This window comes from Homo sapiens, chromosome 9 (assembly GCF_000001405.40).
Source record: "Homo sapiens chromosome 9, GRCh38.p14 Primary Assembly".
Lineage (NCBI taxonomy): Eukaryota > Metazoa > Chordata > Mammalia > Primates > Hominidae > Homo > Homo sapiens.
In genome coordinates, this window is record NC_000009.12 from 5,979,492 (window position 1) to 6,007,065 (window position 27,574).

Here is a 27,574-nt window from a genome sequence, read left to right on the forward strand (position 1 = left end):
AGTGAGAACCTGTCTCAAAAAAAACCCACAAACAAAAAAAAAATCCACTATTTCTGAAAATCCAAATGGTTTTGCAAAAAAGGAACAATGAACAGATCTAGTATTTTTAAGACAACTAAAGTAGACTTAAGTTATCAAAACTGCTATCTAATAATGTCATATTCCAGATTAATAGAAATTTACTTGAGGAGAACCAATTGCCAATTTTCATTGATTTTATTTTATCTTTTAAGTATCTAAAATAGCCGGTATGGTGGCTCACACCTATAATTCCAGCACTTTGGGAGGCTGAGGAGGGCAGATCACCTGAGGTCAGGAGTTCCACACCAGCCTGGGCAACATGGTGAAATCCCATCTCTACTAAAAATACAAACATTAGCTGGGCATAGTGGCAGCACCTGTAGCCCTAGCTACTCAGGAGGCTGAGGTGGGAGAATCACTTGAACCTGGGAGGTGGAGGTTGCAGTGAGCCAGGACTGCACCACTGCACTACAGCCTGGGCAACAAAGCAAGACTCCATCTCAAAAAAAAAAAAAAGAAAAAAAAAAAAGAAGTATCTTAAATGTGTTATCTACTTTCCTGTTTAATAAACAAGGTATACAAAATATTATTCAATGATTCCTTAATGGTTTTAGGTCATCATTATAAACAGAATGTGGTGGTGGTTGTGATTAGCTTAAAGACTATTTCAGCAATAAATTAATCAGCTCTTTCACTCAATTTTCTCAGACTTTCACTTAGAGGGCTGCTGTCTCCTAAATCAACAGGGTCTCTCTACACCAGTTCCCCCAAGACTGCCTGTTGTCCTATCAGCATTTTCTTGAAGATGGCCAGACTACCAAGCCTTTCTCAGTATTTATTCCTCTCTGTTCAACAGGCCATCACTCGCCATCTCCTTTATACTGGTATCCAAAGCTGTCCAAACTAATAAAGACAGCAATAGAGGAATGCCAGGATTTTAAATCTGGCAATCTAAGAAGCCATTATTTTGATAGCATATACTGCACAAGGAAGGTAATCAGCCTACTGTATAAAAATTAAAATATAGAGTGGGGAGCTTCCTTCCTTTAAATGGAATAGGTAACAAATTAGAAACCAAATTAGGTACATTTAAAGATTGTAAAAAATTTCTGTAGACCAGGGTTGGTTTAAAAAAAACTTCACACACACACACACAATGTATATGTATATAGAGAGAGAGAGAGTAAAAATTTTAAAAAATCTACTTTTTAGTTTGTGTCTGCCCAGATGATCAGCTGTAAATTATCAGATGTCCATCAGATACCAGATAAAGTATTACCATATTAAAATATATACTAAATTTTCAGGCTGCTGCTATCTTGATCTCAAACTTCTGATATAACAGGTGTTTTAACCTACGTAACAAAATGAAAACTGTTTTCCCCACTTCTTATGCCAAAGGTTTTAATTAAAACAACAACAGTAACAACAACAACAACAAAACACCTTCCTCTTCTAACATGACCTTCCTATGATTTCAAAGTCCCTTCCCTATCTAAATTTATAAAATCTATACTCTTAGCTAGTCTCTGACTAACTCTTGACAGGGTATTAGATTGACAGATTAGATTGTTTGCCTCTAGATCCATTCTCCATCCTTCACTGTAAGGTTTATCTGTATCAATAGGCAACCTCACTCTCAGTCTTCCCTTGGGTTCATCAATGGAGAGACCTGGGAGGTAATCAGAAAGATAAAATAAAGTGGGATGAAGCATTTATTTCCCTGGCTCTCTCCTCATGAGGTTGCCTTGGGCTTTGTCCTTCAATAGAAGTATCTTCTCAAAACAGTCTCTCCTCTATAACCGTTTCCTGGGTACCAGTTACTCTCTCTGCTTACCCTGGTTACAGCCTTATTTCTTAAGATTCTGCTACATTGTAACCCCTTTGAAAATAAACCCTCTTTGAAATATCCTAATTTGAATGTGCCACATGTTTCCTGGCAGAGGAGAGACACTGATACCAACACTGACAGATACGACATCCAGAGAAGACATTAAGCAGGCAATTAGGTCTGAAACTTAAAGGAGAGACCTGGACTATCTATCTATCTATCTATCCATCCATCCAATCTATTTATCATCAATTAATCTATCTATCCATGTATCTATCTTCTATCTATCTATCTATCTATCTATTTTAATCTATCCATCTCTGTGTCCATCCTCAAGGGAGACACAAGAATGTTTACTATAGCATTCTATAATAATGAAACAACAGAAATACTTCAAAACGTCCATCTCTTCTGGAAAATGGATACACTGAAATACAGTCACATGATGTAATACTATTACATAGTTATTATATAAGGCTTGAAATAAACTAGAACAAAACAGTTCAACATGAATAAAGCTCAGATACGTAAATAAATGGAAACAGAAAGTTGTTAAGAGATAAAAGACCATACTTTGGGTAAAGTGTACACTGCTCGGGTGATGGGTGCACCAGAATCTCAGAAATCACCACTAAAGAACTTATTTATGTAACCAAACACCACCTGTTCCCCAAAAACCTATTGAAATTTTATGTATGTATGTATGTGTGTGTATATATATATATTATTTTTAAGTTGCCAATTATATGAAGGTTAAAGACATGCAAAAGAATGTTATATATTATCTACAAATATATACCTATGTAATTAAAACATTAAAAATGCATGGAAATGACCACTTTTTGTGGTCATGATGAAGTAATTGAACCAAACTTACCCTCCTACTGCAAGCAGCTACAAACTGAACACAATATATAAAACATACATTTTCAGACACTGGACAAACAGTGCAGGACTGTGATCACCAAGAGAAGTGAAACAAATGAGATGATCCCTACAATTGCCCAGTGCTAGGACAGCTGGTTTGAATAGTTGTCCCCTCCAAAACTCGTGTTGAAATTTAATCCACAATGTGGCAGTATTGAGAGGTGGGGCCTTCAAGAGGTTATTGGGTCATGAGGGTTCTGCCCAAATGAGTGGATTAATGAGGTATCATGGGAATGGGGCTGATGGCTTTATAAAAAGAAGTGAGACTTGAGCTAGCACACTCAGCCCCTCACCATGTGATGCCCTGTGCAGTTTCGGGACTCTGCAGAGAGTTGCCATCAGCAAGATGACTACCAGATGTACTCCCTGACCTTGGACTTCACATCCTCTGTAACTGTAAAAAAACAAATTCCTTCTCTTCATAAATTACCCAGTTTCCAGTATCCTGTTATAAGCAACAGAAAATAAACTAAGACATCCAGCTTTCTGACTGAAGGCAGTTTTTAGACTATGAGAACAGAAAGTCGGGATCAGGGAGTCCAGTGGAGTGGAGTTGAGGGGATAGAGATTGGCATCTGGGGAGGATGAAGCACCTGGAAGTTGTGAGATAATTCCAAAAAGAAGGAAGTTATACAGAACAGAAATCTATATTGTATTTTAAATTTTGAATTTTTAAAATTGTGGTATTGTTATTTTTATTGTTTTTTTCCCCAAACATGGGAAATATTTGGGAAATAAGCAGTTGGTTGAATCAGTGCATGTGGAACCTGCTGACACGGAGAGCCAACTGTCCTGGCTGTGACTTCCTAGAGTTAAACTCCACAAAGTTAAATCTGACCAGAATATTAATAAGGTAGCAATTCGGACAGCCACACAAACTGGGGAGGTAACTGAGTTCTGACCAGCTGAAGCAGAAAGTCTTCAGCCACCACTTAGGGGCATTTAGCAGAGGCCTGAGAGGCATTATGCTATTGTAGGGCTGAACTGGAGTGAAGGCTATCTCAGACACACCCTAAAACAGCTTAAAACCTGGACTTTTCAAACTGTTCTACAAGAAATTTAACTGCTTGCCAGAACAAAGCCTAATCCTCCTCAAAGGAAGTAAATAAAACTCCAGACTCAACAAAGCAATGTTCACAATGTCTAATTTCCAATAAAAATTACTGGACATGCCAAGAAGCAAAAGAATATAACTAGGAGAAAAACAACAGAAAGACTTAGAAATTACAAAGATGATTAAGTTAGAGATTAGAAATTAAAACATGAAGATAATGAGAGAAATGAAGATATATAAAAAACAGAACTAAATGTAACTTTTAGAGATAAAAAATTATATTCAGTAAACAGTTCACTGGATTAGACACTGCAGAAGAAAATATGAGCAGCCTTGAAAAGAGCACAGAGAAGACTGAAAGTCTATGGATCAAAGAAGCGAAATGAACCTCAAGCAAGATAAACACAAACACACACACATAAGCTCACACCAAATGCACATGACAAATTGATGAAAGCTAATTATAAAGAGAAAATCTTAAAGGCAGTTAAGAGAAATAAGATAGACCACCCCTATAGGAACAAAGATAAGGAAGTCAGCAGGCTTCTTTTAAAAAACTATGCATAGTAAAACACGTCATACTTAAAGTGCTGATAGGAAAAAACCTGTCAATACAGAGTCATATATGTATATGCATTACACACACACACACACACACACACACACACACACACACACACACCCCTCTCCATCCTTCAAGATGTAAGGAAAAATAAAAACTTTTTCAGTCAAAAAAAAACCTCAGAATTCATTGTTGGCAGACCTATATTACAAGAAATGCTAAAAGAGCTCTTTAGACAGTAGAAAAATGATATCAGATGGTATCATGGATCAATATAAAGGCAGGCAGAATGTTGGGAAGGGTAAAGGTGTGGATTAAATATAAAATACTTCTTTTCATTCTTTGATTTCTTTAAAACACAACTATTTAAAGCACATACAATAACAGTGTATTGGGGGTTTAAAACACATGTAGAAGGAAGGCATACGACAACAGCACAAAGAATGAAAAATGGTATACAGAGGCATACTGTCAAGTGGTACAGCATTATTTGAAACTGACCATGATAAATTAAAGCACATCCTGTAAATCCTACAGAAACTACTTTGAAAAAATAAAACAACGAGGCAGAGCATTATAATAGGCCAACACTGGAGATAAAATGGAATATTAAAGAATGTAAGCAATATTACCAGGGATAAAAAGGGACATAATAAGAAAGAAGTCAATACATCAGAAAACATAAAAGCCATAAATATCTATGCATCTAATAGCACAGTTTCAAATTACATGAAGAAAAACCTGACAAAACTCAGAGAAGACAAAAGGTTACTGTACTAAAGTTTGTATTTCTAGATATATTAGCAATAAATAATTGTAAATTAAATTTTAAAATGACTTACAATTGTATAAAAACCATGAAATATGTAGGGAAAAAGGTAACCAAATATGTAAAAAATGTGCACACTGAAAACTACAAAATACAGCTAAGAAAAAAAGAAAACAAAACAATTATCCAGAAACTGATAATTTCCATGTAATCTCAATCAACCTTCCCAGGATTTTTCTGCAGAAATTAACAATATGATTTCAAAATTACACAAAAAGTGAAGGTCCTAGTATAGACAAACGAATTTGAAAAAAAAAACCCCATAAAGTTGGAAGACATGCTATTTAATTTCAAGACTTACTGTAAAGTTAATCAAATCAATATAGTGCTAACATAAAGATACACCTATAGCTAAATGAAACAGAACACAGTTCAGAAAGACTCACAAATAATACGTTCAATTGCTTTTCAACAAAGATGCAAAGGTAATTCAGTGGTGAAAGAATAGTTTTTGTTCAACAAATGATACTGAAGGAACTGGCTATCCATATGGAAAAAAGTAAAGTTTTTCCTTACTTCATACCACACACAAAAATTAACTTCAAAAGAATAAACATAACCAGAAAAACCAAAACTTAAAAAATTCTAGAACAAAAATTTCCATAACCTTGGGTACGCTAAGATTCCTTAGGTAGGTCCACAAAAACATTTAAAAAATGGATGATTTGAACTTCCAAGACAAAAAACTTCTCCAAAAACACTGAAAATGAAGGCCATGGACTGAGAAAACACTTGTGAACACATATATCTGACAAAGGGCTTATATCCAGAATACATAAAGAATTCTTGGCTGGGCACGGTGGCTCACACCTGTAATCCCAACACTGTGGGAGGCCGAGGTGGGCAGATCACCTGAGGTTGGGAGTTCAAGACCATCCTGACCAACATGGAGAAACCCCATCTCTACTGAAAATACAGAATTAGCCGGGTGTGGTGGTGCTTGCCTGTGATCCCAGCTACTCAGGAGGCTGAGACAGGGGAATCGCTTGAACCTGGGAGGCGGAGGTTGTGGTGAGCCAAGGTTGCGCCACTGCACTCCAGCCTGGGCAACAACAGCAAAACTCCGTCTCAAAAAAAATAAATAAATAAATAAAGAATTCTTACAGTTCAATAATAAAATGCATGGGAATGAGAAACAAAAAAATTAAGATGGGGTATCTTCTATAACAGAAGTACAAGGAAACTAGATGGCATTTATGGCTAATTCTTTAAAAAAAAATTGTTGGGTTGTGGGCACATAGGCTTTTTAAAAATTATTATTATTATTTTAAGGTCCAGGATACAAGTGCAGGACATGCAGGTTTGTTACACAGGTAAACATGTGCCATGGTGGTTTGCTGCACCTATCAACCCATCACCTAGGTATTACGTTCAGCATGCATTAGCTATTTATCCTGATGCTCTCCCTCCCTCTACCCACCTTACAGGCTCCGGTGTGTGTTGTTCCCCTCCCTGTGTCCATGTGTTCTCACTGTTCAGCTCCCACTTATGAGTGAGAACATGTGGTGTTTAGTTTTCTGTTCCTGTGTTAGTTTGCTGAGGATAATGGCTTCCAGCTTCATCCATGTCCCTGCAAATGACATGATCTAATTCCTTTTTATGGCTGCAGAGTATTCCATGGTCTGTATGTACCACATTTTCTTTATCCAGTCTATCATTGCTGAGCATTTGGGTTGATTCCATGTCTTTGCTATTGTGAATAGTGCTGCAATGAACATAGGCATGCACGTACCTTTATAACAGAATGATTTATATTCCTTTGGGTTATATACCCAGTAATGGAATTGCTGGGTCAAATGGTTCTAGATCTTTCAGGAATCATCATACTGTCTTCCACAACGGCTGAACTAATTTACATTCCCACCAACAGTGTAAAAGCCTTCCTACTTCTCCACAGCACAGGCTTTAATTTTATTTATTCTTTGTTCTATGCTTAAAATATTTTATAATTTAAAACGTTAACACTAAAAGAGATAGCTTAATTCATATAACTCCATTAAATTATCATAGTTACTATGATATTTAACAGAGGGTTTTCCTCCCATGGCTTATTCTCCCATGTTTATTTGATGTCAGGGCACACATAGATTGATTCATATTCATAGTTTCCTGCTATGCATTCCTGCTTGGATATGTAAATGTTTTCATTATCATATTAAACAATTTATTCAAAATGAATTCACTGCTTTTTCCCCTACCTGGACTCACCTTTTCAAGCTCTTCTATTTTCTTTGCTAGTTTTACCATTTTACAAATCAAAAAATGGTATACTGCTTAGGAGCACTAGCTCTAGAGCCAGGCTGATTGGGTTCCAATCTTGAGTTCACTACTCAAAAACTGTATGACCTTGGGCAAGTTACTTCATCACTCTGTGCCTCAGGATAAATGCTGAATACAAGGAAGGTGCTTAGAGCTAAACCTGGCAAATACTCACGCTCAATAAACATTAGCCATTCTTTTTTTTTATCTTATTGTTTATATCACTACTATTATTACAACTACTTTTTGACTTATCTTTGTCTCTTCCTTTGTTCTCCCTATACCAAGGAAGATACTAAGTTCTATTAATTGTTCTCAGGACAATCTGATTTCTTCCAATTTCTGGTGACCAGTATTGGAGGTGGTGACCAGTAGTGGAGATGTAGACTACTACAGCCTTCTTCGTACAAGCCTTCCTTTTCTTCAATTCTCCCCATTCCAATCTACTGTACGCTACTGTCAAGTTAATCTTTACCCCTTTCCATAAGCCCTCCTTTCCTATAGTAGGAGTAGTTCTGTGAAGCTCTGCACAAGGAAAAAAAAAATACTTTACAGCAGGTTTCCAAATTAATTACTGCTGGAAAAAGTATGATGGTAGAAAGTCTCAAGGCTGAGTTTCAATCCTACAAATTTCAAAGCAAGTTACATTTATTATTACAAGAAGAGCAACAAAATATTATAAATTGCCTCTGACCAGCATTAACAAGTCCTTATAACATTAGTAATCACTCCTAACATAGTTCGCAATTTGATTTAGTACTATAAAAATAACTAGTCTTTTTGTTTGTTTGTTTGTCAGTATAGAAACATCAGTGTCACTTACCTCTCTGGGCCCTGGTTGTCTTTTTATAAATTGAAAAGTTATATAAATGCCATCACTCTTATGCTCCCAGACCCTAGAAGCTACCATTAATTGAGCACACTTTTTCCTGATCAGCCCAGAGTAAGCACAGTTATCCAGGATATTAATTCCAATGGAGGAACAGGCAGAGGTGAATTTATGTCATGCTTGAACTACATAATCTCTGGAGATTCTCCTGATTTTAAAGGTCTGTGATTCTGTTCTAAAACTACAAACCTATAGAAAATTCCTCTAATTTAAAACTTATAATTCACTTGAGAATGAATACTACTAGAAATCTAGAAAGCACTCTGAAATATTCTGTAGAAATTATTTTTGTATAGCTTCAAGATAAGTGGTTTTAAATTTTAAAATTACATTTTAAACAAATTTTATTGCGATATTTCATTATGAATTCATACTTTTGTAACAATGCATTTTAGAACACTACTAAAATGGGCCCAGAAATCTGATATGGGCACATAAAAATTATGCAGCTGAAATTATGAATTTTTTTCTTAACATTTACCTTTTTTCTTCTTTTGCTCTCAGCTGTTCTTCCTGTCTCAAAACTTGAACCATTATAGATTCAAAAACTCCACTTGTCAAGCCTGCCAAACTTCGCGGTGTTGACCGACGCCTTGTTGAGGTACATGCAGTTCCCTTCTCATCCTCCAATCCATAATAGCCTCTAGATGTAACTGCTATCGTTGTCTTTTCTCTCAAGTGCCTTGGAGAAGAATAAGTCAATTCACAAGGTCAAATCTTCTGGATAAGCAATAAACCCCCTTAGCCAGCAACTTAAGAATCCCTTTTGCTAAATACATAAAAGTATTTAAACCTTACTTACTTAGCTTTGTTCTAACTTTTTATCCTCCCTACACAATTTCTCATACTCCTTATGTCATAAAATCAGAGTGACAGTCTCTTCCCTGCATTAAAAAAAAAAATCTGAGACTGAAGCATTTAAAATATTGACTAAAGCACTATCTCTTTAATAGAAAACAAAGTTTATTGTTTGCAATGTATTTCATACTATCTATTATTGGTACGAGAAAATGTACAATAATACAGAAACATTTGGAAAAAGAAAATGTAAAATGATACATAAACACTTTGAAAAAATTATAAACAGCCGGGTGCAGTGGCTCATGCCTGCAATCTCAGCAATTTGGGAGGCCGAGGCAGGCGAATCATCTGAGGTCAGGAGTTTGAGACCAGCCTGACCAACACGGAGAAGCCCTGCCTCTACTAAAAATACAAAATTAGCCGGGCGCGGTGGCGCATGCCTGTAATTCCAGCTACTCGGCAGGCTGAGGCAGGAGAATCACTTGAACCAGGAGGAGGCAGAGGTTGTGGTGAGCCGAGATCACATCACTGCACTCCAGCCTGGGCAACAAGAGAGAAACTCTGTCTCATTAAAAAAAAAAAAAAAAAAAAAAAAAAATCCAAAAATTAGTCAGGCATGGTGGTGAGCACCTGTAGATCCAATTATTAATATATTAATACTTGGGAGGCTAAGGTGGGAGGACCGATGCTTGGGAGGTTGAGGCTGCAATGAGCTGAGATCGTACCACTCCACTCCAGCCTGGGTGACAGAGTTCCTACCTCAAAAAAAAAAAAAAAGAAAATTTATATAAATTAAAAGTTGACCCTATAGTTATATTTCCCTGCTTTCCTACAGGCTTTAACATAAAATAGGCTAAAGGTTCATTAAAATGTAAATTTTTTTTTTTTTTTTTTGAGACAGAGACTCTGTCACCCAGGCTGGGGTGCAGTGGTATGATCCTGCAGCTTCAACCTCCCTGGGCTCAGGTGATCCTCCCACCTCAGCCTCCTCAGTAGCTGGGACCACAGGCATGTGCCACCACGCCTGGCTAACTTTTGTAATTTTGTAGAGACAGGGTTTCACCATGTTGCCCAGGCTGGTCTTGAATGCCTGGGCTCAAGCGATCAGCCCACCTTGGCCTCCCAAAGTGCTGGGATTACAGACATGAGCCACCCCACCCAGCCAAACATAAATCTTTATGACATAAAATATAATAATTGAAGTCCTGTCCTCCTTGGACTATGTCCAGAGTGATTTATTACACTAAATTAGAATAACTTTGTAACAACCTTACCCTCAGTGCCATCTAGGTCCCATGAACAGTATGAGTGTAGGATTCTACCAAACTGTAGCACCATTATGTGTTTTCTCTGTTATACGGTGATAACACTATAACTAATTCAGCTTTAATAAGGGCATGAATGTTAAATTGGTTTTCCAAAAATACTGAAGAATTTGGGCTAATCTAGCATACCATTTTAGGCTGTGATCCTTCAGTATACAATGGCATACATCTGTATGATAGCTAATTGGGCCGGAAGTAAGGAATTGCGGACCCAGGGAAGATAGCCAACTGGCAACAACAGATACTGAATGGGTGTACTTTAATTTATTTTAGTATAATATTTTTAGTAGGTTAATTAATTAGCTATATAATTTTAACTACTTCTTCAATACTGATGAAAGAGAACATTAATGGACAATATTGCATTGAAAAATAATGACATCTCAGAGGTCACAGCAGGTATGTAGAGCATTGAGGATAAAAATTCAGTAAGTACACAGAACACTGGGGATAAGGAAAACTGAGAAAAATGGCAAGTTATATGGCTAAATTGTTACATAAGGTCAGAAACTGTATTTTACTCTTTAATTTCAGTTTTATAAGTAGATAAGATAAAGGTATAAACTTTCTAAATCAGTATTTTCTCAGAACAAAGACCAAAGAGAAAGTAATATCCTTTATTACTCATCAGAAATTAAAATTTATGAGCTTTGATATTTATTACTCATAATTAAAAGAAAATCCAACCAACCATGGTGCTGCTTCTCTCTCACCAACATGTAAAGATAAAAAAGACTGATATTACTCAGGGTTGGAAAGGATGTAAGGAAGGAAAAATTCTTAAACAACATTAGTAGAAGTGTAAACTGGCAGTCTTTCTAGCAGTCAATTTAGTAATAATCATTAAAGTTTAACATGAACATATCCTTTGACCCACCATGCTTCTCGGAATTTATCCAACAGATGTAATTCAACAACTACAACCAAGAACACTCAGAATATTGCCTGTTATTTTTTAAAACACTGGAAACATAAATGTTTTTCAATATGAGACAGATTAAATAATGTACTGAACATTACAACATGGAAGAGCATCCATCCATTAAAACGAATCAAGTATATGTATATGTATTCACTGTTAAAGATGTCCATATTACACTGCTAAATGTAAAAAAGAAGTTTCTGAACAAAATATATTTTTTAACCCAAAAATAATTATATATGTGCATGTGTGTTTTGTGTGTGTGTGTGTATATATATATATATATATATCATGCATGTACAGACACACTACTAGATGCCATATGTGTATTAGTTTTCATATGATATGTACGCATACATCTAGTAGTGTATCTGTACATGCATCTAGTAGTGTGTCTGTACACGCATGAGTTCAAACTCTCATCTAGACTACTGCAGTTGCTTTGTGACAGGCCTCCTGGCTTCTGCTCTGATATTCCTAGAGTCTACTCATATAGTAACCCAGGTAATCCTTTTAAAAAGCAAACCAGGGCCGCGTGCAGTCACTCACGCCTGTAATCCCAACACACTGGGAGGCCAAGGCAGGTGGATCACCTGACGTCAGGAGTTCCAGACCAGCTTGGCCAATATGGTAAAACCCTATCTCTACTAAAAATACAAAAATTAGCTGGGCCTGATGGCACGTGCACCTGTAGTCCAAGCTACGCGGGAGGCTGAGGCAGGAGAATCATTTGAACCTAGGAGGCGGAGGTTGCAGTGAGCCAAGATCGTGCCATTGCATTCCAGCCTGGGCGACAGAGAAAGACTCTGTCTTAAAAAAAAAAAAAAAAAAAAAGGCAAATCAGATGCCACTACCTTGCTCTGTCTCCTCCAAAGTCTTTCAGTTAGAATAACCTAAAGTTCTTATGATCTCCAAGACCTAGCATGATATGGCCTTCGCCTACCTCTCCAGGCCTAATTTTCTGCCATTCTGACCTTAGCTCTTTGTATTCCAGCTACAAAACTCTCCATTTTATTCTCAGTCATACCAACACAACTGTTTCCATGCATCTTTGCACTTGATCACTCTCCTTTAAGACACTCTTCCTCCAGATACTCATATGGCTACACTCTATCACTTCATTCAAGTCTCTGTTCAAATGCCACAACATCTGAAAGACCTTCCCTAACTTATTTAATAAACGATACCCTATCACTCTCTATTCTTACACTAGTTTCTTTTTCATGTCACTTATCACTACACTGCATTATATAATTACTATTTTTTTGGTAATTATCTAACAAAATGAAAGCTCCAGGAGGATAGGAACTTTGTTTTGTTAATGACTGTCATCATGCCCTCAAACTGTGCCCTATATATCTATATGCGCATAGAAAGTATTTGGAAGAACACAAGCCAAGTTATTTATTTTCCATTTTAAATTCACACACATAATTAAGGTTTAAAAATTCCAGTCATCTATATTGTCCATAGTAAAAGAATCCCGATTAAACATGTTACTATCTACTTGAGTTCCATTAATCAGTGAATAAAATAAGATAAAAAAATAAATTTACCTTTCAAATAGGGTTGTCAAATAATCAATGGCCAAATAAATACACTAAAATAGCTCTCCCATTGCAAAAAAACACACTAAAATAGCTCTCCCGTTGCAAAAATTCAAGCTTTTTTTCTGTCTATTAGGGAAATCATTTCATGAAATCTGACAGTAGTTTGAAAATAATAATATGCTGCCATCCATAAGCAAACACTAACCAATAATTATGGTTACTTATTGAGTTTTACGTTTACTTTCTTTCTCCCCCTTTTTTTTTTTTTAACACAAAGCATGTAAAGTCTTTTCTGTGTTAATACATTCCAAATTTCAGAATTCAGAGGCTTGATTCTGTTTAAAATTATTACAATAAGTCTTAACAAGAAAGTGAATTGATATTAAGCTTTACTTATAGTTAACATACAAACTGACACCTACTCCCCTACTAAAAATAGATGTTTGAACACTTTTGCATTATGTGATTTTTCTTTTGCTATCAAAAACAATGTACATGTGTCACCTATAAAAATTCTATCAGCACACTCAAAACTCATGGTTATCTAATCTGTTTAAAAATATTCTAAATGAAGCCAGGCGCAGTGGCTCATGCCTGTAATCCCAGCACTTTGGGAGGCCAAGGCGGGTGGATCAAATGAGGTCAGGAGTTTGAGACCAGCCTGGCCAACATGGTGAAACCCCATCTCTACTAATAATAAAAAATTAGCTGGGCACGGTGGCATGCGTCTGTAGTCCCAGCTACTCAGGAGGCTGAGGCAGGAGACTCACTGGAACCTGGGAGACGGAGGCTGCAGTGAGCCGAGATCTCACCACTGTACTCCAGCCTGGGTGACAGAGTGAGACTCCATTAAAAAAAAAAAAAAAAAAAAAAAACAACTAAATGAAGAGTTTCAATCACTTAGTTCACCTATCCATTTAAAAATATTAAAATGCAACTTTAGCCCTAAGGGTCCTGGAAAGAAATAGATAATATGTAAAAAGATGTGATGTTTATTTAATGAAGGGACTATTTACAAATGTGCAGGCAAGGTTGAGAGAAAATAGGAAGGGATAGTGAAGCACTCCAGTGCTAGCCACAGCAGAGAACTATTTTACCACTCTAAGCCCAATATGGGTAGGAGAGTGAATAGTTACTGGAACCCAGAGAGCGGTGACTGTAGGAGAAGGCCATAACGATGGAGCACAGTTTCTGACAACTTGCAACCCAGCAAAAAGGAAGCTGTAGGAATAAATATGTCTGTCCTCTCTGTCCTCCTGTCAGTCCCTCCTATTGGCTGAACCCAATCAGAAGTCAGAGGTCAAGGCATACCAGTTTGATCCTTATAAATCAGCCTTCTGGGGCACAGAGCACAGTGCACAAGGGTAGAAAATGCATTTACAGGGGCAAATGGAGATTAACAGCACAGCACACCTTAGAAATACTTTCCAAGAACAACTAATTAAATTAGGAAAGACAGAAAATTTTACTGGGGAATTCTGACAAAAAAATTTGCATATTTGATAGATAAGCATCATTCATCTAAGCTTCTGTCTACATTTATGTATCTTTACAAGCTCTGTGCTACAACAGCCATTAAAACCAAGTATCAAAATAAACCTAACTTAAAACAAGCCTTTCAAATAGCTCTACAGCCAAGTACGAAACCAAGATTCTCAAAACTAATGAAGTATCACAATGCCCTCACCAAAAACTTTTTATACCATCAATAATGTTAAAAAATTTTTTAAATATGCTTATTTACTCTCTCATTTTAAGTATCTAGCTTAGCTTATGTTTTATAATATATAAAACATAATAGTAAAGTATCCATATATGATTTATAAATAAATATGCATAATCGAAGGTATATATTCAAAATGTTTGCTGCTTGAGAAGCCAGATCATGAAAGTCTGGAGACCACTGCTCTTATCTGCAGCTATAAGCTACCTCACACACAAAAAGGTTTTCAGGAAAAGAAGTAGTCTTCATACCCACAAAAAAGCACTTATTAAAGACCATTAAACTTACTTTCTACTTGATTTTTACCTTCTATTTTCCCAGTCATTACCTTATTCCCCCTGAATTTCTTTTTCGTCTTCCTTCAGACCTCCAGTCCCTTGTCTGACTCTCATTTGCTGTAACATAATTCAACTTCTTTTAGCTATTCACATAGATAACCAGTTGAGACCCATAATACATGACTAACCTCTTCTCTTATCTCCCTGGACCAATTATATTTCTGTCTCAGGCATGTAGCCTCTCTCTTAAATCTCAGCCAAAGGCCCCTTCACTCCTATACTTCTCCTACTGAGCAGGGTAGAAAAAATAATCCCCTTATAATCTGTTGTCTAACTATAACCTCAGCTGGGCTCAACTGTACCTAATATGACTTCTTTGAAGGTGGTCAACTCCCTCTTTCATTCTCCATAACAGCAACTTCAAATGCTATCATTTTTCTTTTTTTTTTTTTTTGAGACAGAGTTTCGCTCTTGTTGCCCAGGCTGGAGTGCAATGGCACCATCTCGGCTCACTGCAACCTCCGCCTCCCTGGTTCAAGCAATTCTCCTGCCTCAGCCTCCTGAGTAGCTGGGATTACAGGCATATGCCACCACGCCCGGCTAATTTTCAGCATTTTCAATAGAGACGGGGTTTCTCCATGTTGGTCAGGCTGGTCTCGAACTCCTGACCTCAGTTGATCCACCCGCCTTGGCATCCCAAATTGCTGGGATTAGAGGCGTGAGCCACCATGCCGGCCCAAATGCTACCACTATTCAAAAGCTTCATTCCATCACTTTCTCGCAGGTGACTGCCCATAACTTATTTCAGAGAAAACGGCAGTTTTTAAGTAAGAGCTCCATTAACTTCCTGCTTCTCAAAAACCAAAATTATCTAAATCCAGGCCCATCCTTACTTTATGTTTCAGTGAAAAATGTGCCTCCAATCCTCTAATGAAAAATGAATCACTACACAGGTCTTCAGAATTTGTATTTCATTAATTATCTTCTGAGCCTTCAAACTCTCTTTCTCTGTCTGTTAGCTGCTTTAGCATATAAACAAGTCCAAGTTTCCCTGAGGAACATCTAAACTGCTGATCCAATTCATCTTTCATTCACATCTCAATCTATAATGTGGCATCTGCTTGGAGCTACTCCACTGAAATCCCTCTTCCCAGAGATCTCCCAGTTAGGAAATGCAAAGGGTATTTTTCAGTTCTTATTTTAGTCAACCTTTCTATACCCTATCTGGTCACCCTTTGTTAAGAACTTGAATTGGACTTTGCAGAAAGAACAGTTTTAGATAGATAGGAAAGAGTGGAGAGAGAATACTAAATAAAGACAAAAATATTCATTCATATTATTCAAATATATTCATCAAAATATTTACTGAGCCACAGGGATTTAGCAAAGAACACGCTAACAATTTGTACATATGGAATTAAAAGTATAAACATCAAAGATGACTGATACATTCAGGCTGAAACAATGATAACACCACTGACAAAAATGTGAAAAGTCAAAAAGAAAAACAGGAAAACTGGGAAGGAGATTTGGGCTAGAAATATACTCAGTTTTTAACATTTTGAGATAACAATTACACAACCAACTGGAAAAGTTCTATGGACAAAAATATGAAACTAAAACTAAAGGCGGGGGGTTCAAGATACTGATTTAGGAGCCCTTAGTGGTAAGTAAAGCCATTAAACAACAACAGTAAATAAATACATATATAAAAATAAATGTATTTATTCCTCTCCAGAGGAGAAGAATACAAACAAAACCTTCCAAAGCCATTATTCATTTCTGCAACAGCAACAGGTAAATGACATAACGCCCCAAAGAACAACTGAAGACCATGTAACTTGGTTTTTTTTTTTGTTGTTGTTGTTGTTTTTGAGACAACGTCTTACTCTGTCACCCAGGCTGGAGTGCAATGGCACAATCTCAGCTCACTGCAACCTTTGCCTCCTGGGTTCAAGCAATTCTTGTGCCTCAGTCTCCCAAGTAGCTAAGATTACAAGCATATGCCACTATGCCTGGCTAATTTTTGTATGTTTAGTAGAGTTGGGATTTCACAGGGTCTCTCACCACATTGGCCAGGCTGGTCTCAAACTCCCGACCTCAGGTGATCTGCCCACCTCTGCCTCCCAAAGTGCTGGGATTATAGGCATGAGCTACCATGCCCGAGCCATGTAACTAATTTTTAAAAAATCGTTTTGCTTAGAATATATTTATTCTGTTTTTCTGAATTTAGGAAAGGCACAAAGGCAAATGCAAAGTTTTTATTTACAGACAAACAGTATTTGAAAAGTGCCTTATCAACCTTGACAAGTGTGATAAGCATTTTTAGTAAGTTAGGGCTGCTCTGCTGAACATACTACTACTGCTACAGCTATTCCTACTTCTCAGGAGTTCTCAATGCAGGCAGAACAGAAGCTCTCTAGGTCACTAACTCTCATACTGTCTCAATATGCTAATGTTCCCTAGAAGATGCTAAAAATGTAATGAGTCTGCAAAGTACGCAGGTAAATACCTTGGCTTCCTGTCCCTGGCCAACTCTTCTATTTATCTCCTAAGCATTGATGAGGCTTTAAAGTAGCTGATTGTAAATTTAGGACACTTTCAGATTCAGACAATGGCACAAGGAAGAAAGGCAGGAAAGCTAGAGCAAGTCTTAGCGCCTGCCTACCTGAAATAACAGGTCTTAACAAAGAGATATAGGGACTTGGCAAGAGCTAAGGACATAATTAAAATGAGAAGAATGTAGCAAGTGGCTATTACAGTGTCTACAGAAAATAAGTAATGCTATCAACTTTTCATCTTTCACTTCATGAATGAGAAGAATACCACTCTTATTCCCCACAAACTAGTGATTTTTATTGTTTTCTTGCATATTTCTTATGCGAAGTGAACAAAACATGGGTGATGCAAATGTTGCTTCTGCTATACTTATTTAAAAGCCACATATCTAATGGAAAAATAAATACATGAAAAAATGGGTTTTTTTTTTGACAGAGGACTCACTCTACCAAATATATTAAAATAAATTCTAAAGTCACAGTAATAAAGTTTAATATCAGAAGATGAATAGTTAGATCAACAGCACACCAGAGAAAGTTAGATCCAAGTACACCAGAGACATATGATAAAGAAAAATAGATCCAAATACACCAATAATATATCATAAACATGGTAATTCAAAATAATGGAGAAAGTTGATGTTGCGACAACTGGCTGGGTATTTGAGAAAAAAATTAAGCTGGATTTCAACCTCACTTCTTCACCAAAACAAATTTCAGGCAGATCCATCCATCCATTCATTCATTCCTTCATTCAATATTAACTAAGCACTTATAGGTAGTGGGGTAGGTTTGGCAACAACACAGACAACATTCCTGTCTGCTCTGAGCTTACATGGATAGCAAAGAAGATACACAAAAAGTAAGCACACACAATACATAATAAATAAGTTCAAACTATAAGTTACATACTGTACGTTTTGTAAAGGACAGTCAAGAACACTTACTTAAGTGGTAACAATAGAAAGAAATAGGCAAGATTTAAAATATACTTTAGAAGTAGGAAGAATCAATGAAAAATGCTATTTTTTTGGCTAGAGCAATTTGGTGGATGGTCAAATCTCTAAGACTAAACTTAGTAAAAATAAACAAAAAAAAGAAAAGTTCTGTTTTGAACATGTTAAAGTTTGAGATGGCTACTGGACACTCAATTGGATAAAAGAAACTATTAACAGTAGGATTGGCCTCTTAACAGTAGGAGACCTGGAGACTGGTGAAAGAGGGAGATTTTCTCTTGTACTGTTCTATTATTGCCCCAGGATGTACACATTTTAATTAATAAACTATTACGAATATAAACACTAATCACTGGATTGCTAAAAAGTCTACATATATTAGTTACAATTCAACTATTTCCTTTAGATTTCCATAATATGTATACACATAACATTTTAATAATCTATATTGCAAATACTGTCAATCCTACCACCACAGGTATCTAAATGCTCCCTACTCCTTCAAATCTTTTATGATCCTTTTCTCTCCAGTCTGTCTCTCAGGAGAAAAGACTCCTTTCTCTCAATCCTTACAGCTTTTGTTCATAAGCAACCAAGCATGATGATTAAGTGCTATATAGCAAACTCAAACTTTGCATTTAATTTTTTTGGGTGTAAGTAAATAATACATGTGTACATATGAGATAAAAAAGGGTTTAAATTGTTAGTAAAAAATTAAGAGATTTCAGTTATCCTATAATTTATATACTCTTCTCATGAAACTTTTAAAATAAGTCTTGGATATGATTAAGAGCTTTGACTTAAATATTACTATCAATCAAATTTCCTAGCCTGGAATTAATAAGTAGTAGAAATCACTAGCGTACTAGAATTGTACGAAGGATTTAGATAAACTTAAGAATATAAATGGTTCTCATACTTGTCAGTAGTCTGTGGAATACCTTGAAATACTATCATATTTAATAGTTTTTAAATACCTTCTACTAGCAACGTTGTATTTTTTAAGGATTATGTTCTTATAAGTATTAAACTGTTACAAATATAAATTTGTGTCTATAAAAACTAAGCTGTCAAATTAAGCATATTGATATTGTCAATATGTTTATAATTTATTAATTATATTTGCCATAATTCTTTTTTTGGTTATTGGCAAAGTTGCTAAAAACAACTTGGTAGTAGACTAACTTAAACTGATAAAATTATGTATTTAACATATTTTTTTCCCTGAGAACAGAGAGAAGATTGAAATTATTCAAAGAAACAAAACAACTAAGTCTGACAAATTATTTGGAGATGTAAATCTAGCATATTATCTCAATTTGGCAAAATTTCTCTTATATCTAGCATTGCTCTAGGATTTCTGCTATATATAAAACTAATTTTTCCTGATACATTTATATATATATAATCACCAGACCTAAAAGAAACATAGTCAAACGCAATACTTTTAACTCGGAAGTCAAGAATAAGCAAAGCTGAAAATTAAAGGATGGGAAAAGATCAAATTGAGTCTAGTTTTCTCCTTCTCTAATTCATTTCATCTATGCATCCCTTGTAATTCCCTAGCTTAAAATCCTTCATACAACTCCCGAATATTAGCACAGCATATTAGGCCCTCTGTGATCTGGCTACATAATCTGGCCCTCACCGTCACACCTGTCACTACTTTTCTACATATAATTACACTCTAGCCAAACTAAACTACTGGCCATTCCCTAGCTACACACAGTAGCTCTTTTTGCCTTTGCACTTTTAGATATGGTGTTCTTATTGCCTGAATAACCTCTACACCAATTTAGTTTATCCACTTGTGTCTTTCTATATCCATCTTTGAATCTCCCTATAGTGCCTATCAAATAATAAGCATTGTAAATATATGCTAAAAATAATGAACTGAACTTGTCTTACCACATTAACCACATACTACCTTCTTGCATGCTTTTGAACACTGTGTCCATCCCTTAAGGGAGGGTATGTTGTCTGTGTTCAATTTTTAACTTGTATGGTTTATTCAGAATTGTAAATATTAACTTCCTTTCAATAAAATACATTTTTAATATAAAAGTAATATGCTTATTGTAGAATATCTAGGACATATAGAAAAGTTAAAAGAAGAAAATGAAAACTACCTAGGATCTTTCTAGTTAACAATAACAACTACTAACATTTTCTTGGTTTTCCTGAATCTTTTTTCAAAGTGTACATACTTAATATTCTGACTGTAATGCATGCTTATTTCTGGAACATTCATAGGTCTCAGGTGGAAGACGATATAACAAAGGGTTTGGTGACAGATACTACCACTGGGGCTTATTAGCCTTTCCCAATTAAAAAGAAAAAACTTCTGGTAACTTAACATGAATTTTAAGATTCATATTATTATACAAGTTCCTGGAAAATGAAAATGGCTATTATTTGTTCTGGGCAACTCTCATCTTACAGAGACAGCCTAAAGATCATCTGAAAGCTAAAATAAAACTATGAAAGGGATGACATTTTCTCTCCAAGATATGATTTTTCTTCCCTGCTCTAGTGTTCTTCTGGGAAATAAAAATAAATACAAGGGCACAAATATAAGGAGAAACAAACTATAAGGCAAAATACATTAGAATCTGTTAGGACATTTTTATTGTCTTAATTCTAAATCATTCTCAAATTAATATTTTCAAATGGAAGAACAATCTTTTTAAATAATAGTCTGTAAGTTCAGCATATTTCAAATAATACCTTTTTACTTATTCCAGAATAAATTCTTTTCAGCTTCATTAACTCCCTTTTCTAAATTAAGCATTTCAGCTTTTAATATACATTATACATATTTTAATCATAACCCTAATCTTTTTTCTTTTCAGTTTGAAGACATTCAATCCTCACACAAAGTTCTGCCATTGGCTCCCTTGTATTTTTACTAGACTCTGTCCTGGGCAATTTCATTTACTCTATTTCTTTATCATCCTTCAGCAAGTTACCCTCTAATTAAACTTCTCTAGCCCTTGTCACTATGCTGGACTCCACATGCACTCTTATAATTCTCAGCTGGGTATCTTCAAATGAATGCCTCCTCTCAGGTCCCCTAAGCATCACCACCAGCTGGGCTCAAATGCTTCTATTCATTTTGGACATCATCTGCTCCTTCATACTCCACATTCAACAGTTTGCCATTTACCACTGATACCTGTTGAATTTACCTCTTTTGTATCCCCATCCACCTTTCTATTCCTACTGTTTATTATCTCTTGATGGAATTAACTCAATAATCTTTTAATTGGTTTTCTTCCCTCATTGTCCTTTCACTTCTGCCTTCAAACCTCAAAATACTACTAGTAAAATCTTCACGTTACTCCCTTAGTCGCAACCTGTGATGGATCTACACTGCCTAGATTCTAAATTCCCTAGCAAGCATTCACGGTACTTTATGATTGGCCCCAGACTATCTTTCTAGACTTAGCTGCCACTACATATCCTCATCATCCTATACTCTAACCACTGGGTATAAACTGTTCCCCTAGACTACTCTGTACTCTCCTGCCTCCGTACTTTAACTTTTAATTATGCCTCCAAATACCTAACTTTTAATTATGTGTTTCTGTTTACCTATCACCTTGAAGGGACAAGGTAATGTTTGTCATTGTATCTACAGGGCTTTACATATTATCTAGCACATAATAGTTCAAATAATTGTTCAATGAACTACACATCTTCACCTATCATTATTCTACCCACTCTTCAAAACCTAGCTCAAAAACTACAATCTCTTGAATAAAATCTAATAAAATATTTTTAATCCCAGCTATCCACTCCCAATAGTTATCCCTCCTCTGCACACTATAATATAGCTCATCACGGTAGTATACATCCTCAAAGTATGCTCCTTGGAACATGGTCATTCATGAGCTGAACCAAGATTTATCACCTAAAATCTGAAAGTGATTATGTTTTCCCAATTTGTAGGGGGAAAAAACTAAGACACTACATAGAATTTCTTCAATTAAGGGTTCCCTCCCATTATTTGTTTTAAACCTTTTAGATGTCCTAGCAAAAAAATCATGATATAATTAAAAACATATTTCAGGATGTTGTGAAAATAGTACCATGACTTCTAAGTGTTCTGACAATGGAACACGTTTGAGACTCATGGTTTAAACATACTTTACCTTTTACTATGCCTGTATATGTGTTTCTTTCTACCATCTTTTAAACCTGTTGGGGGTGGGGACTGCCCCCCAAACCCTAGAACAAAACAGGTGCTCAATAAATGTCTTGTTAATTGAACTCTTTCATACTTCTGTTACTGCACTTAAAACATTTTCTGAACCTTCTTGAAATAACACTATTTTTTAAAGAATGGCTACTATAATAAATAGAACTACATGGAATATCAAGCTGTAACATTCCATAGGTTCTGAACATGAGGCAAATCCAGATTCTATTACCAAAGATCCCCAATTTGTAAAGATTTATATAAAAAAAAAAGCATTACAGAATCCAGTGGTAGGTAGGATGGGTGAGATTTACTGAGGAGAAATAAACATTTTGTTAAAATTTCCAATTACTTTATAGGTTTTGATCTTGACTGAGGATAAGCAAGCCAGTAAGAATTCAAATTTAACTTAGGAAAAGATTAAAATAAAAATTCATTTTTAATTTGATTACTACTTGTACTTGGAAACATCTATTTTCAAATTTTTGAGCCTTCATGAGGATGCTGTACTTTTTTTTTTTTTTTTTCCACTCTTATCACCCAGGCTGGAGTGCAGCAGCACCATCTCGGCTCACCGCAATCTCCATCTTCCAGGTTTGAGTGATTCTCATGCCTCAGCCTCCCAAGTAGCTGGGATTACAGGTGTGTGCCACTACACCTGGCTAATTTTTTTTGTTTGTTTGTTTAAGTAAAGATGGGGTTTCATCATGTTGGCCAAGCTAGTCTCAAACTCTGGGCCTCAAGTGAACCACCCGCCTCGGCCTCCCTAAGTGCCGGGATTACAGGCGTGAGCTGCCACACTTGGCAAAGTATGCTGTACTCTTACCCCAATCCAAAAAATATTCTGCCAACTAAAAAGCAATCACAAAACCAAATAATCTTCAGCTATATTTTAAGAAAGCCTTTTTATCCCATACATGTACCATTTTTTAACAGTAACAATATGGAAATCAAGAATAATTTTAACAAAGCTATACACAAGCTTATTTTCACCAAGATATTATCATAAATGGCAAAATTAAAAATTTAAATTTAGCTTTATTAGTGTCACTGGTGATGCATCTTTTCTAATGACAGCCTTTCAAAACTAGAAAAAGCCATCTTCAGCCTACATGGCAATATTCTTAAAGTTTTCAAAAATATCATCATTTAAAAATCAGTTTTGGAAGAGGTAAAAATTCATACTAATATTTGACGTTCTCTAAAGTTCTTTTCATAATTTCCTATTATTTTCTATTCCTTTCCACTTAGATGATCTTCTCCCTGTTTCTAATGTTAATTGCTATTTCTCACAGTTGCCTCAAATGGATGAATGAGATCCCTTCTAAAATATAACTTTCTTGAGAATAGATATGTTATCTAACAGAGAAAATTGTATCTATAGCAATGCGTGGTCAAAACTGTATTTTTGATACTAAAAATTTAAAAATCTGTGTTGGGACTTTCAAAATATGTTACCGCCTTTGAAAAAGGCAATATACACACCAGTAGCCCAATTTGGAATTCATTCTGAGAATTAATCAGCTTTTGGAAACTGAAAGAGCAGACCTGAATTTTAGTCCTACTTCTCTTGAAAATATATATAGATAATATAAAAATCATAAATATTTATAAATTATTTATAGATTACATGCATTGCTGCTTTAAGCATCACAAAAAGCAAACAAAAAGATATTTCAAAAGGTAAAATAATAACAGAACATACTTAAGTCCTAATATTTTCTTCTCTCACCCCAGTGGGTCATCCTGTCTACTTCCTGAGATGCTGAGACTACTCTGGAAACCACAGTGAAGCATACAGAAGTATTTGTAGTTTCCAGAAATACTATGCTGTTTCATGCCTTGCACTCACTGTAGTTCAGCATTCGGAATGCCCCAGTTAAACCTTCCTAAAAAGTTCAGTAGTAATATTCAACTCCTTCAAGAATCAATTCAAATATAAACACCTCTATGATAGACTAGTCTCTTTCTCTTCCTTACCTCGTCTCACTTGTCATCCCCACATTCACCCCTTCCGCTTCAGATTTATGTCATCTTCCTTTAAATTCCTCTTGTACTTTGTTCATATATCCATTACAGAATTATTCTATTTTTAAGTAACTGTTTCCCTACTCAACTACAAACCACTTAAGGGCAGGGAACTTATCTTTTGATCTCAGGGACATGAATGCCTAATTCTAGAAGATACTTAAATACTTGCACAATTATTCTACCCTAACACCCTCATTATACAGATAAGGAAACTGAGATTCAAGTTATATGCTGTGTCCAGGGTACTAATGCTATTGGGCTGCTCTCTAATGAGAATGTGGTATCCTCTTTACCTAATATACCTCATTTATTGCTCACTAGAAAGCTCAGCAGTATAGGGAACGGCTTTAAAGTCTCTTTACACTTTGAAAATAAGTTCCTTTAGTGTCTTACAAATATATTCCAGAAGTCAACGGAAAATTCAAATAATATCTAAGTGATTCATTGGTTTCATTTCTAAAATACCATATACCACTTTGAGATATTTACAAATAAGCTATGAGTCATCTATATGCTGAAAATCACACTCCCATGAACACTCTATAGAATATTGTTTTGAAACATCTATATACCTTAGTTGCATTTCAAACAGTTGTGACCTATGCTTTTCTCAAAGTTGTGCCCATTGGAAGCAGTTAGTAATGACTCAGATTTTAGGCTAGAAGAACTGATGTCCTAGTATCCACAAGTGTGGTCTCGCAAACCTGATGTGTTTGCATACATCAAATACAAAAAAGCGAGGGACTCCAACTTTAATTAACTATTTGAGGTCATACTACTTTTTGCTACTAAAATAGCAAGAATTTTACCTCTACTGGCCTAAGAATGTCAGAAATACATTATTTTTATAAACTACAATGTTGTAAGTTTAATTTCTAAATATGGATACTATTAGATCACATGGGAATATAAGTATTCTGAGCATTAACGACTGAGAATGATGATTCTAAGCATTTAGAAATTTACCTTTATGTAGTTTCTTAGTCTGCTCTTTTTTAAGACTAAGAAATGTTTATTATAGGCCGGGCGCGGTGGCTAGGGCCTGTAATCCCAGCACTTTGGGAGGCCGAGGCGGGCGGATCACCTGAGGTCAGGAGCTTGAGACCAGCCTGGCCAACATGGCGAAACCCCATCTCTACCAAAAATACGAAGATTAGCCGGGCGCGGTGACAACTAACCCCAGCTACTCGGGACGCTGAGGCACGAGTATCGCTTGAACCCGGGAGGCGGAGGTTGCAGTGAGCTGAGATCACGCCACTGGACTCCAGCCTGGGCTACAGAGGGAGACTCAGAGAAAATAAAATAAATAAATAAATGTTTATTACACACAGAGCTTTTGAAAACACCAGTAATTCAAACCCATATGCTATCTCTTAGCACTTTCATTCAGTCATTCTCTTGCCTCATTCTAAATCATTATTCCCACATCTGATAGATTAGATGAACTCTAAGGTTCTTCCAGGTCTAAAATCTTGTGACATCAATCAGGAGGATACTTCATAACTTCAAAATAATAACGTGAATGGATTGTTTTTTATGTGAGTCACAGCAATAATGCACTGTGGAGACAAGGGTAACAAACACACTACAGAAATACAAAATTACTAAAGTATTAAAAGTAATTTACAAAGCAAATATGTGAATAATTATTCTATTACTAAATAATCCTACTCTATGAAAGGATTCAAGAAGAGGTTCCTTAAAGAGAGCTCACTTAACGAAGACAGGCACTATGTTAACTGTTTTTGGTGAAAAAAATCACCGTTAGTCTTGAAAATGGCATATGGGAAGCCAATGACAAAGGTTACTTTTAAATTACAGTGACAAATCAAGAACCAAAAAATTAACACAATTTCTAGGAGCTATTCTGTAAGAGCACAAGTATAATGCCGTTTCAGATATGAAGTATACACTCATATTATTCAACGACTGCTACTACTTACATTAAAATGGCTAACACTTATACTTGGCTAACTATGGGAGCAGCACTGTTGATTTCACATTTATTAACTCATTAAATCCTCAAAGCAACTCTATGAGAGAAGTACTATTATTATCCCCGCTTGATAGATGAGGAAACTGAGGCCAAAAAGGTTAAGTGACTTGCTCAACTTAAATTCACTCTAATAGTAAACAGTCAAACTACTATTCCACTTCAACTACCAATACCAAAAACATTGAATTTTTCCACTCCCGAAAAATTTAAACTTTAGAAATTAACTTGGCTGACACAGACTATACAATTATTATAAAACAATACATTCATTTTAGTATCCTCCTCTTGTGTTAAATAATTGGATATATGGGTGGCGGATACCAAGAGCACAGTATCATCTGACTTGCCTATGATTTCTGGTAGAATAAACATAAATGTATAAACTTTAAAAAATGTGTGTTGATGCATTCCCTATTATTGCAAAAATTGGGTGTCCTCAGATGAAACGGAGAGAAAAGATCAGTAGTATGCAAAAGTAACCATTAACCATTTAGTAACACTCCATAAATCTTCGATGACCGACATGGGTAGTAAATGATAAAATTATTTTTTAATGGTTTAAGACACCTTTTTACATAAGCCAAAATTATTTTTCTAGAGATATTTCATCCTAAACGCTGTTTTAAATGTCATGCTAAAACTGTCTAAAAGTTGCAGGTCCAACTTCCATCCCACAAAAACTGTTCCTCTGCCTACACGTGCAATTCTTCCTACGGGACCCATTCCATTTTACATCTGCAAACTATACCCAGCTCTTCAGCGCTGCAGACTCGGGTTTCCTTCTCAGTCTACGCGCAAGCCGGGTTCGGCCCACACCCACCACACCCCTCCGGTCCCCGCCCAGCGCCGCTCCTCCTCCCG

At 35.9% G+C, this 27,574-nt stretch overlaps 1 protein-coding gene across 14 annotated transcripts in view, besides 1 other annotated feature; it reads right to left on the minus strand.

The window, feature by feature from the left end:
- BRD10 (bromodomain containing 10) overlaps positions 1 to 27,574 on the minus strand; it is a 129,649-nt gene that overhangs the window by 100,658 nt on the left and 1,417 nt on the right. For all 14 annotated transcript variants that reach the window (XR_007061251.1, XR_007061249.1, XR_007061250.1 and 11 more), the window contains exon 2: positions 8,854 to 9,054. Coding sequence is in view for 7 of the 14 variants with exons in the window: in XM_011517760.4 (XP_011516062.1) it covers positions 8,854 to 9,054 (201 nt within the window). In the remaining 7 variants the exon portion in view is untranslated. The remainder of the gene's footprint in view (positions 1 to 8,853; positions 9,055 to 27,574) is intronic.
- Positions 27,459 to 27,518: a silencer, noted in NCBI's record as "silent region_19758". NCBI's record gives its function as "represses an Ori minimal core promoter by ATAC-STARR-seq in GM12878 lymphoblastoid cells {active_cell/tissue: GM12878}" and the evidence as "EXISTENCE:reporter gene assay evidence [ECO:0000049][PMID:35858748]".